This window comes from Homo sapiens, chromosome 9 (assembly GCF_000001405.40).
Source record: "Homo sapiens chromosome 9, GRCh38.p14 Primary Assembly".
Lineage (NCBI taxonomy): Eukaryota > Metazoa > Chordata > Mammalia > Primates > Hominidae > Homo > Homo sapiens.
The window spans coordinates 38,721,052-38,733,909 of record NC_000009.12 but is presented as its reverse complement, the minus strand read 5'-3'; the positions used below and the strand labels follow the sequence as shown (position 1 = coordinate 38,733,909).

The 12,858-nt window shown below is 45.4% G+C and overlaps 1 annotated feature.

Moving 5' to 3' along the window:
• Window positions 395-895: an enhancer, noted in NCBI's record as "H3K4me1 hESC enhancer chr9:38733012-38733512 (GRCh37/hg19 assembly coordinates)". NCBI's record gives its function as "activates a minimal SCP1, AML or CMV promoter by ChIP-STARR-seq in primed H9 embryonic stem cells {active_cell/tissue: H9 hESC(primed)}" and the evidence as "EXISTENCE:reporter gene assay evidence [ECO:0000049][PMID:30033119]".

Genomic DNA, 12,858 nt, shown 5'->3' with positions numbered 1-12,858 from the left:
GTCACACTTCAGGCACAAACCCCAAATGTGAAGAGCCAGCGTAGAATTCATGAGGATTCAAAACACGAGGATCAGCCTTGGCCAATACACCCGTGATAGAAGTTCATTAATTCCTCCCCTTTGTGAGGCAGCCCTGGAGAAGGCAGACCCCTCACAGTGCTGAGTAAGCCAGCCAGAGAGGAGTACAGATTCACAGCATCAGAAGCAAGGTTGGGACTTCCCTATTCCGGCTTTGGTAAGAGCTGAGAACCAACAGGTGGCCCCCCCTGGCTGAGATGAGGCCTTTCTGCCAGGCGGCTGGTCAGCAGGACCACTCCTGCCCACCGCCCTTTCATCTTGGGTAGGACCAGCAGTGCTGGCCCTTGGGAGAGAAGGCGGGACCTTTAAATAGAGCATGTTGCAAAATACTCCGTCCCCTGCTCCTATAGACATTACCCAAAGCTTCTCCTACTGGGGTGGTCCATGGGGTTGCAGCCTGCTGAACCTGTGATTCACTAGCTCCTGAGGCTGTACTGCCCTCAAATACAGCAAAGTCGGAGCACAACAAAGCTCCGCACAGCGGAGAAGGCATTCTCTGTAGCCCGTTATTCCCCCACAGCAAGCAGCAGCCCGAGTTCAGGCATAGGAGAGATCGCGCTTTTGCACTAAGAAATGTGTGAACAAACCCCAAGGCTTCCAGCCCTCAGCAAGATCCAGGACTGGGATTGATGGGCCCCAAAAGACCTGAAATCAGCAACCCTGCTAACAGCTGCTCCAGACCCCAGGGCGGCCGGGACCACTCTCTAAGCAATCTGCCTCTGCTCCGCTGGCTGGGTGCAGAGGGTATAAATCAGCACAATCTTTCACAAGCAGTTTCAAGTGCATATCAAGCACTATCGCGCTTCTCAAAGGCCCAAGAATGATACAATGGACTCTGGGGACTCGAGGGGAGGAGTCGGAGGGGGTTAAGGGATAAAAGACTACAAATATGGCGCAGTGTATACTGCTTAGGTGATATGTGCACCAAAATCTCACAAATCGCCACTAAAGAACTTACTCATGTGATCAGATACCACCAGTACCCCAATAGCTTATGGAAAAATTAAAAAATAATAATAATTTACATTTTTTTTTTGAGACGGAGTCTCACTCTGTCACCCAGGCTGGAGTGCAGTGGCACGATCTCGGCTCACTGCAAGCTCCGCTTCCCGGGTTCATGTCATCCTCCTGCCTCAGCCTTCTGAGTAGCTGGGACTACAGAAGCCCGGCTAATTTTCTGTATTTTTACACGTCATTCTCCCGCCTCAGCCTCCGGAGTAGCTGGGACTACAGGCGCCCGCCACCGTGCCCGGCTAAATTTTTGTATTTAGTAGAGACAGGGTTTCACTGTGTTAGCCAGGGTGGTCTCAATCTCCTGACCTCGTGATCTGCCCGCCTCAGCCTCCCAAAGTGCTGGGATTACAGGCGTGAGCCACCGCACCCGGCCAAAATTTTTTAAACATTTTTTTTTATACTTTAAATTCTGGGATACATGTGCAGAATTTGCAAGTTTGTCACATAGGTATACACATGCCATGGTCGTTTGCTGCACACATCAACCCATCATCTACATTAGGTTTTTCTCCTAGTGCTATCCCTCCCCTAGCTCCCACCTCCTGACAAGCCCTAGTGTGTGATATTCCCCTCCCTGTGTCCATGTGTTCTCATTGTTCAACTCCCACTTATGAATGAGAACATGAGGTGTTTGGTTTTCTGTTCTTGTGTCAGTTTGCTGAGAATGATGGTTTCCAGCTTCATCTATGCTCCTGCAAAGGACATGAACTCATCCTTTTTTATGGCTGCATAGTATTCCATAATATTTTTTTTAAAGGGCTATCTTGCTTCTGTGCCCCTCAGCCCAGTGACCCCACTGGAGGGATGGTGAGGATGGTGGAGTGTGCTGCTGAGTGTGCAGTGACCATCCTTCCCCGGTTCTTACCATGAGTCATGACTTACATACACCCAGCCACTAGCTTGCTTCTCACTCAGGACCTTGTATGTAAAGCTTTATTTAATTGAAATTATGGCTTTTTGCATTGCTTAGTTTAGCCTAAATTAAGTGTTCCTGGGCAGTGGGTCTCATCAGGGGATGCCCTTTAGAATCACCAGGGAAGCTTTTAAAATATTTCTTTTCCTGGAACCCATTCTCCTAGAGATGATCATTCAATTTGTCTGGGGATGGGACCCAGGAATGTGAATTTTAAAAGCTGCCCAAGTAGTCTGTGTAGCCAGGACTGAGTCCTTGTTTCATCTACAGTCAAGCAGCTGTGTTAAGGGCATTGGGGTCAGATCCAAGGAATGAAGCTCTGTGAGGCAAGCATCAATTTTCTCAACTATGAAGGGGAAAGAAATGGAAATGGTGGCATCCAGATCCTAGGGTCATTGTGAGAGTGACATTAAATAATGCCTGTGCATTGCTGAGCTCAGTGCCCATCTTATAGGAAGTGTTCAGTAAAGGCTTGACAAATAATTACAATTTCTACTTAGGAACATGAGTCATTTCTTTAGGGATAAGTTTAATAAGGATATTTCTATTCATAGAAATATTATCAGGACTAACTTAAGGTAAGGTTGTTTGACCTTCCCAGGGGCAGACGGTTCCTGAATGTGAACTGTTCTTTCTCAGAGCTGCCCACTGTGGATGGCCAAGTGATTGCAGTTGCTCTCTCTTTAAAATATGGTTGTTTTCTGTCAAGGCTACACACTGGAATCACCTTGAGTGTCTTTAAAAAAATAATAATAAAGTGGGGACTGCCCAAACAGTGGAGTCAGGAGCTCATCAAATCCTCTCCCCAAAAAACAATAATGAAACTTGACAAAATTGTCAAAAAAGTATCATTTGAGGAGCCTGAAAATCAGCCAACATCGATCAAATTGAGAAGCATTTATTCAAGAAAAACTACTAAATTTAAGGAACGGACAGTGGGAATCTGTGATCTTCCGCAGCTCTACCCACGCAGAGCGTTTGGTGGAAACCAGCAACTTTGCTGCCAGAGGGCACTGCCTTGATTTCAAGTGGAGCTCAGAAAATTCAAAACAGAAGCAATCTTGGTTTCAAATTAGCAGGGAAGACCAACAGTACAACTAGACTGAGATTGCAGCTGTGGGAGGGGCAAACAAAAGAATGGCAAACTAAGAAGAAATTAACAGTGAGATCCAGGAATGGGCCAGCCACAGGGGACTTTGGTGAGCTCAGACAGTCCCTGATGGTCTGGAGGCATGCACATAGCTGGGTCCCTGAGCAGGAAACCAGAAAGAATACTAGCTGTCCACTTATCCATGGCTCACGCTGAGGCCACGTGGATACCCAAAAGAGACATGAGAAATGTGGCAAAAATCAAAAGCTGGAGAACATTTGTGGACTGCTTGAATTTTGAATGCCTTCTTCAACCACACACAGAGCCATCAACAAACAGTGGAAGACTTACTGGCTCAAGATGTTTGAGCACAAACCATGACCTATCATTGGTTGCCCACGAAGCTGAGCAGACAGAAGGGCAACCCCTGTAAAGCCAGGCTTAAAAATAAAAGCAAGAATGAAAATTAAAAACTGAGCCTAGGCATTAGCAGTCACACACCATAAGAAAGAAAGACTCCACAGATTAGCCCAAGCTAGTTACTAAACAAACAAGAACACAGTTTCAGCCAGGTGGGGTGTGGTGGCTCACACCTGTTAATTCCAGCACTTTGGGAGGCTGAGCGGGGAGGATTGCTTGAGTCCAAGAGTTTGAGACCAGCCTGGGCAATGTATCGAGACCTCATCTCTACAAAAAAAAAAAAATTAGTTTAAAAAAATTGGCCAGGGGGCCGGCTGCTGTGGCTCACGCCTGTAATCCCAGCACTTTGGGAGGCCCAGGCGGGCGGATCACGAGGTCAGGACATTGAGACCAACCTGGCTAACACGGTGAAACCCCGTCTCTATTAAAAATACAAAACATTAGCCAGACATGGTGGTGGGTGCTTGTAGTCCCAGCTACTCGGGAGGCTGAGGCAGGACAATGGCGTGACCCAGGAGGCGGAGCTTGAAGTGAGCCAAGAACACGCCACTGCACTGCAGCCTGGGCGACAGAGCGAGACTCCGTCTCCAAAAAAAAAAAAAAAAATTAGCCTGCCGTGGTGATAAGCCCCTGTAGTCCTAGCTACTTGGGAGGCTGAGGTGAAAGAATCACTTGAGCCCAGTAGGTAGAGGCTGCAGTGAGCTATGATTGTGCCACTGCACACCAGCCTGGGCAACTGAGTGAGACCCTGTCTCTAAAAATAAATATTTTTTTTAAATTTTTTTTTTTTTTTAGACGGAGTCTCCCTCTGTCACCCAGGCTGGAGCACAGTGGCATGATATCGGCTCACTGCAACTTCCCCCTCCTGGATTTAAGCGATTGTCCTGCCTCAGCCTCCAGAGGCAGGAGATTACAGGCTTGGATTACAGGCACTGGCCACCACGCCCGTCTAATTTTTGTATTTTTAGTAGAGACAGGGTTTCACCGTGTTGGCCAGGCTGGTCTTGAACTCCTGACCTCAAGTGATCCGCCTGCCTCGGCCTCCCAAAGTGCTGGGATTACAGGCATGAGCCACCACGCCTGGCCTAAAAATAACTAAATTTTAACTAAAGAACACAATTTTATAACTCCCCATGTTAATGTTGGGGACAGATCCTGCATCCTCAGAACCCAGCACAGTGCCCAGCACAATGCAGGTCTACAGAGAAAACGTTTGTTTAATAAAAATGAAATCATAAATACTTCATCCGCCTTCTTTTTTTTCTTCAGCATCTCTCCCTCCCACAAACACTCTTCTTTCAAATCCAGATAATTTATGGTTTTCATTTCCCTGCTTCTATTCAATTTTCCCTTAAGAGTATGTCACCTCTGATTAATAATCCCTATTTGTCATCATTATTACCCATCTTACAAGATCCATTTCTCAACCATCACTTCTCATCCTCTTCATCTTGTCCTGCTTGAGAACACTTCCCTGATTTAAAAGCCATTTATTTACAAGATTTCATTTACAATTTTCTTCAGGTAGGGCAATGGATATGCACACTCTGAGGATCTACATGTCCAGAACTATGCATCTTTTGCCTTGACGGGCATAGGATTTCTGGATCCTGGTTCATTTCCCTCAGTGAGCTAAAAAGTCTAGCCAGATTTCTTTTCTCTTCTAAGTAACCTGTTCTTTCTCTTCAGAATCTTAGCCATTTTTTTCCTTTGTTCTTATAATTCAGAAATTTCACCAGGATATTTCCAGGTGAGTTTCTTTGATTTTGTTTTTCATTAATTCTGCCCTGGGGATCAGTGGTTTTATTCAATCTAAATCAAGATTTTCTTAGGTTAGAAAAAGTTGCTCCTGGCCAGGCGCGGTGGCTCACGCCTATAATCCCAGCACTTTGGGAGGCCAAGGCAGGTGGATCACGAGGTCAGGAGATCGAGACCATACATGGTGAAACCCCGTCTCAACTAAAAATACAAAAAATTAGCCGGGCGTGGTGGTGGGCGCCTGTAGTCCCAGCTACTCGGGAGGCTGAGGCAGGAGAATGGCGTGAACCCAGGAGGCGGAGCTTGCAGTGAGCGGAGATGGCGCCATTGCACTCTAGCCTGGGGGACAGAGCGAGACTGTGTCTCAAGAAAAAAAGGGAAAAAGAAAAAAGAAGATGTTGCTCCTAATATATGCTGAACAATCACTTTTCTTCCATCTGTTCCTTTTTCACCTTCTGACTCTCCCACTACTCACATGGTATCATAGGATCTAAATTTTCACTCACGCTTTCCTTCTTATCATGACTCAGTTTCATCCTCCAGAATAGCTCTCTGGACCTCCTCAGTTAACACGCTCTTTTTTTGGTTTGTATACTAATTTCTTTATGATTCCAGAAATCATGCTTTGTAAATGCCAGATGTTTTCTGCAGCTGTGTCTCCTTGAGCGGTCTTGTTACTCTTTTGCACAGAGTCTCCTCAGACTCTGGTAGCTGGCCACCTGTCCCATGGACAGGCGGCTTCACTATGTCTGTGTCAGAATTGACTAGCAGCAGCTGTAGTTAGAAAGGAATGGTTGGGATTTGCATTTAAAACGCATTTTCACAACAAGCACACAGCTCTTACCTAGCTTGGAAGCTGGGGGCGATAACAGCAGCGGGCTGAAGTTGGGACAACCTTTGGCAGGGTCGCTGAATGGGCTTGCTCAGCTTGATCTTCCTCCCACAAGCTGCTGAGTCCATTTGAATAAGCTATTACTTCATTTGGTGGACTAGTCCTCCGCCTCTACAAACACCAGGTTATTTGTGCCCCAGAATGTAGCAGACCAACGCTGCCTTCTAGTGGCTTCATGGCCCCAGGAACCACGCATTTATCCAACCCTGACAACCTCCCTTACCCCAGCATCACTGACGTCCTGCCAGTCCTTGGGTTGATGGGGTCCACTCACCTGGGAATATTTCATTTGCCCCTATTTTTTCTTACATGCTTTCAGGGATATGAAATATAACTGAAAATTGTACACTATCATCTCTCTAAAAATCCTTCATTAACTTATATGTTCACAGCCTAATGTGGTAGCATTTTTCATTTATTTATTTATTTATTTTGAGACGGAGTCTTGCTCTGTCGCCCAGGCTGGAGTGCAGTGGCGCGATCTCGGCTCACTTCAAGTTCCGCCTCCCGCGTTCACGCCATTCTCCTGCCTCAGCCACCGGAGCCGCTGGGACTACAGGCGCCCGCCACCACGCCCGGCTGATGTTTTTGTATTTTTAGTAGAGACAGGGTTTCACCATGTTAGCCAGGATCATTTATTTCTTTCTAGGGTCAAATCTATGGACTTTTTTCTCTCTTTCTCTTTATTGTTTTTCCAATCACAAAAGCAATATGTGCGTAACAAAAGACAAAGCAATACACTTTTTTACAAAGAAAATATTAAAATTCTCCTATTTGCCCATACCTTTGAGATAATCATCATTAACAAACTTGGAATAGAAACATTAACTTTCGCCAGGTGCGGTGGCTCACGCCTGTAATCCCAGCACTTTGGGAGGCTGAGGCAGGAGGATCACAAGGTCAGGAGATTGAGACCATCCTAGCTAACATGGTGAAACCCCGTCTCTACTAAAAATACAAAAAATTAGCCAGGCGTGGTGGTGGCCGCCGGTAGTCCCAGCTACTCAGGAGGCTGAGGCAGGAGAATGGCTTGAACTCGGGAGGCGGAGCTTGCATTGAGCCGAGATCACACCACTGCACTCCAGCCTGGGCAACAGAGCAAGACTCCGTCTCAAAAAAAAAAAAAAAAGAAACATTAACTTTCAATTTTTATACACATATACACATTTCATATATACATATATAATGTATATATATCATTCATACTGATGTGCATATATTTTCATCTTACCAAGGCAAGTTCATTCAACTCATATACACATGAATATTCCACGACTTGTTTTATTTTTAGTTAAGAAGTAATAATTGTACATATTTATGGGATGTAGAGTGATATTACACATGTATACAATGTGTAATGATCAAATCAGGGCAATTAGCATATCTAGCACCTTGAATATTTATCACTTCTTTGTGTTGTGAACATTCAAAATCCCCGCCAAAATAAGATGTTTTATTTGGTAATCTCTAAGCCTCTTCTAGTCCTAATGTAATAATTCTATCATGGTGTTGCCCTAAAGTCTGTGTAAGGGTGATGGGAATAAGTAAGGTAATAGGAATAATAAGCCAAATGGTTCTTACTCACAGAAGGGGCTGATCCTGTGTCTTTCCAGCCCTAGAGCTGGGCCAAACCACTGGGAGGGTCTGGGTGCCAAATAGAACACTCAAGTTGATACTATGAAATCTGTTTTCTATCACCCTCTTCCTAGGTCTCATCTGTTAGGGAAAGGTGAAAGTCAGTGCCAGTGAGACTCAGAGGCAGCTGGGAGTTGTGGAGCTACAAGCATTAAGCTTTGAACTGTTTTATGGCCTTAAACATACCCCTTAGTGGCCGGGCATGGTGGCTCACGCCTGTAACCCCAGCACTTTGGCAGGCAGATCACGAGGTCAGGAGATGAAGACCATCCTGGCTAACACGGTGAAACCCCATCTCTACTGAAAATACAGAAAAATTAGCCAGGCGTGGTGGTGGGTGCCTGTAGTCCCAGCTACTCGGGAGGCTGAGGCAGGACAATGGCGTGAACCTGGGAGGCGGAGCTTGCAGTGAGCGCAGATCATGCCACTGCACTCCAGGCTGGGCAACAGAGCGAGACTCCATCTCAAAAAAAAAAAAAAAACACCCCTTAGCTACAGGCCCACTTGACATGTCTGATCTTTCTACATCAACACACTGTAAGTCTGCATAATTCCTTTCACCAATGTCCTGTCATTAGACATCCGTCGGTTTGCAGTTCTTTGCTGTGATGAACAATGGCTGTCCTGACCACCCTTAGACCTGTAACCATATCCACTTACTGATCAGTTCTGTAGGATCAATTGCTGGCGATGAGACTCTAATGTTAACTTGCTATGTAAGATATGGATACATATTGCCAAGTTACCCTCTGAAAAATAGTTTCTTTAATTACAAAAGAGTGAAAGAATAATGGGCTATGGCCTTTCTGGAGGGCCATCTGATGTCATTGCCCAAAATGTGAGGGGCCACTCTCATTGACGCAGCAATTCCACTTTGGGGAGTTGGTCCTACAGAAATGATTGCACCAGAAACTGTTTACTAAGGAACTACTGACACTGAAGCTTTGGGACCACTCACTTGTATGAACCTGTTAAAAGAAAAAACTTTAGACAAATTAAATTTAATACAGTTTAATTGAGCAAAGAATGATTCACAGATGGCGCAGCTCCCCCACCACTCCCTACAAGTCCCTCCGAACCAGAATAGGCTCAGAGCAGCTGCGGTGCTGCGCGTGGTCAAAGAGGATTTATGGATGGAAAGCGGAAGTGAAGCACAGAAACAGCTGGATTGGTTACAGCTTGGTGTTTGCCTTATTTGAACACGGTTTGAACAGTTGGCCGTCTGTGATTTGCTGAAACAAAGTGATTGGTACAAGAGTAGTTCACAATCGGTTGACACTCCCAGTTAGTAAACAGGTCACTGTATACGAAGAAATATTTAGGTCCAATTTAAAATAAGTAAGGAGACAGCTTTAGACTAAACTTATTTTAACACTTCACAGCTACTTTATATTTTTTATTACCAAAAGAATGACGCTCTCATATATGCCACAACATGAATGAACCTTGAAAATATTCTGCTAAGCAAAAGAAGCCAGAAACTAAAGGTCACATATTTTATGATTCCATGTATATGAAATATCCAGAACAGGTAAATCCATAGAGACGGAAGGCAGATTAGTGATTGCCAGGGACTGGGGGGAGAAGGGAATGGGGACTGACTGTTTAATGGGTGCAGGGCTTCCTTTGGGGATGATGGAAATGTTGGGGAATCATACAGGGATGATAGTTACACAACATTGTGAATGTACCAAACACCACTGAATTGTACACTTTAAAATGGATAAAATGGTGAATTTTATGTTATGCGTATCTTGTCACAGTAAAAGTAATTGATTGATTAATTTTTTTGAGATGGAGTCTCATTCTGTCTCCAGGCTGGAGTGCAATGGCTCGATCTCTGCTCACTGCAACCTCCGCCTCATGGGTTCAAGCAATTCTCCTGCCTCAACCTCCCGAGTACCTGGGATTACAGGCATGTGCCACCACGCCCAGCTAATTTTTGTATTTTTAGTAGAGACAGGGTTTCACCATGTTGGACAGGATGGTCTTGATCTTTTGACCTCGTGATCTGCCCGCCTCGGCCTCCCAAAGTGCTGGGATAACAGGCGTGAGCCACCGCACCTGGATGATTAATTCATATTTTAAAAAGGGCAGTGGGCCAGATTTGGCCTGAGGGCCACAGTTGCTGCTCCCAGGTCTGTAGCCACACTGCTGATCTGTGTGACGGCAGGTTCCTTAGTCTCGCTGTGCCTCAGAAGGTTGTGTGAGGATGAGAACAGTTAATACTTACAAAGGGCTTAAAGTAGTGTTTGGAACATAGGACATATGCCAGAGATGCTCGGTGTTATCATTGCTGTTGTTGTTAATAGTAAACCTCTTAGAGTCATGGAGCCCTTTGAGGATTTAAGGAAAATTATGAACCCTCTAAGAAAAAACAATGCGCCTATGCATACATGAGAAAGTTCCACAAGGTTACAAGCCCAGGCAGAGCCAGGGGCCTAACTTCGAACGCCTAGATATCTGTGTCACCCAGCTGACACCATCAACAGGATTTAGTGGCTGAGAGAGAAAAGAGGCCCCAGGAGTCTCCACCTGGGAAGGCACAGCCATCAGGAGGAGGCCAGAGGAAACAGAAATGAAGGTTGAGGGGGTGCCTGAGAAGAGGACAGGAGGGTCTCAGAGTCAGACTCTGCCCAGGTGGTGGTTTATCTAGACACTGCTATGGCTGGGTTCCCCTGACCATTCACAGTGGCTAGCTGCACCCAGGACACAGCAGGCTGGGGGGCAGGGCTGCTGGCACCCTTTGCCTTAGACAGAGCTAGCATGACAGTGAGGTGACACCGATATGGGAATGCCATCCAGGAGGGCCTTCCAGCAGTTATCCAGACCGCATCAACTCTAATGTCTTATTTTCCATATTCTGTGTGCACTGACATTTGGAGCCCTGATCCTGGAGAACCTGCCCCTCCAGGGCAAGCTAATTCCTGGAGATAGCACGTGTCTCCCTGCAAGCACCCCTGTGATATGCAAGTCAACCAGTCCAGAGCCCACACCCCACTATCTCCTTCCCCAAACTCTCCACACCAAGCCAGTATTTCCTTTAAGCCACCCAGGACCAGGAACCAGGCAATAAAGACCACCCTATGGCCCAGAGCCCACCAAAGTTATTCAAACTTGTCAATCCTAAGGTCACCATACCCATCCCTTCCTGCAAAAACCCCAAAAAAGGCTCTGGTCCACACTGTCCCCTCTTGCCTCTCTCTGCCTCCTGACCAACCCTGGTGCTTGCCGCATGCCCCTGCATGGCACGATGGCCGTACCTCTTCTTCCTAGGGATTTGTAAATATGAACTTCTTCCCTCATGACAGTCATTTCTGCATCTGCATGTCTTACTACACTTGATTAAAACAAATCCCAGGTACAGATTTTAATACACATACCTCACAGCTATACTGGAACTGGTCATCACACACACAAAGGAATTGGACCTCAGACTAGCTCCATGATGATGGGAATAAAGGGCTGGATGGTCAAGTGCTATCCACATATCACACGTGTCCAGGCCATGGCCAATAAGCCACTGGTATTATATCTTGCAATGCAAGATGTGAAAACAAGAAGTTTGGAATGAAACATCCAGCAAGAGACCTCCAGTTCTCTATTTACTGGTTCCTGTTTCTTCCCTCCCCACACAGGCCTGTAGGTACATCATTGTCACCCCCTTCTCACCCCACCAGACCCTCTACTTCCAGAAGGAATCTTCCTGGGGCTCATCTGTGAATGTAGATTGGAGCTTGAAATTCCCAGGGCTCTGTACTCAGGAGAAGGGTTAGGTTTCTAGTTTACAGCAGTGCCTATCACTGGGGAGGCTTTCCTTGGCCTGTTTGGCAGATAAGGTTTTTAAATAAATATAGACCTGATTGTCTTCTACAAGATATTTTGTCTGTCTGTGCTGTTTCTTTTTTTCTCTCCTTTACATCTCTTCTTTTGGGTCCCAGAGTCCAGTTGGTATGTACACCTCTACTAAGTGTACAAGATGCTCAGTAACCCCTGGGGCTCCCCTTCTCTTTTGGGTGGCAACATCAGGAAGGAAAAAAAATAAAATTCAAAAAGTGAAGTGGCATAAATTCCCTGTTTCAAAATAAGGAGAAAGAAGAAATGCTCGGGGTAGTAATAACTGTATTGATGATAATGGTAATAATAGCTTCCATTGAGTAAGTGTGCTTTTGTCCTAAAAGCTATGCGGGGGGGCATCCCTGCTTAAATTCTTGAAACCAGCTCCCCTTAATGGGTTCCCCGCTCTGCTCCTCCACCCATTGGGACCCTGGGCCACGGGCAGCTCTTGCAGCCTCTGCTCCTCCTTCCAGAAGTAGGGTCTTGCAGGGGCTCTGACCTGAACACATGTTCTATTGTCTCTTCCTCTTTCAGATAAACTCCTTGTATTGGTAGGGGAATGAATAGTGGAAGTGCTTGGGGCTTGGGCAGAGACATGTGCTGAACATCTCACTTTAGTAAGAGCTTGAGTCGGACAGCCTGGGTTCAAATCTTAATTCTGCCACTTTCTAGCCATGCGGCCTCTGTCTTCCCAATCAAATCAAAGATAAAGTCAAGATCAAAATGTGGACATCCCTATACTTATAGATTAAAACCTTATTTGAACTAGGAAGAGCATAAATGCTCATTCCTTAAAGTGGAACAAATTGTTAATTGTGCAAGATTCTATATTAGTAGATTAAGTAAGTGTTTACAGAATTGCTATAAGCCAAGTGGAGTAACACCACATAAGAAATAGTTTGATAACCTTTCTCTTGGAGTCTTGCTAATGGCTTCAATAAAGGCTGAGGCATCACATGTAGCCAAAATAACTTTCACAGGAGAGAAAGAAAAGGAGGAAAGAGGGAGGAAGGGAGGGAGGAAGGGAGGGACGAAGGAAGGGAAACTAACACCTAGTGATCTGTTAGCTGCTAATTATTCAAGTTTCTCTATATTTTCTTAAGTGGAAATATACAAATATGTATATAACTTCACTTCTGTGATTTCAGTATACTCCTTAGAAACATTTTTGTTGAGTTTTTTCTCTTTAAATTGTTGATTTTATATAGGTGGGACCCTGCA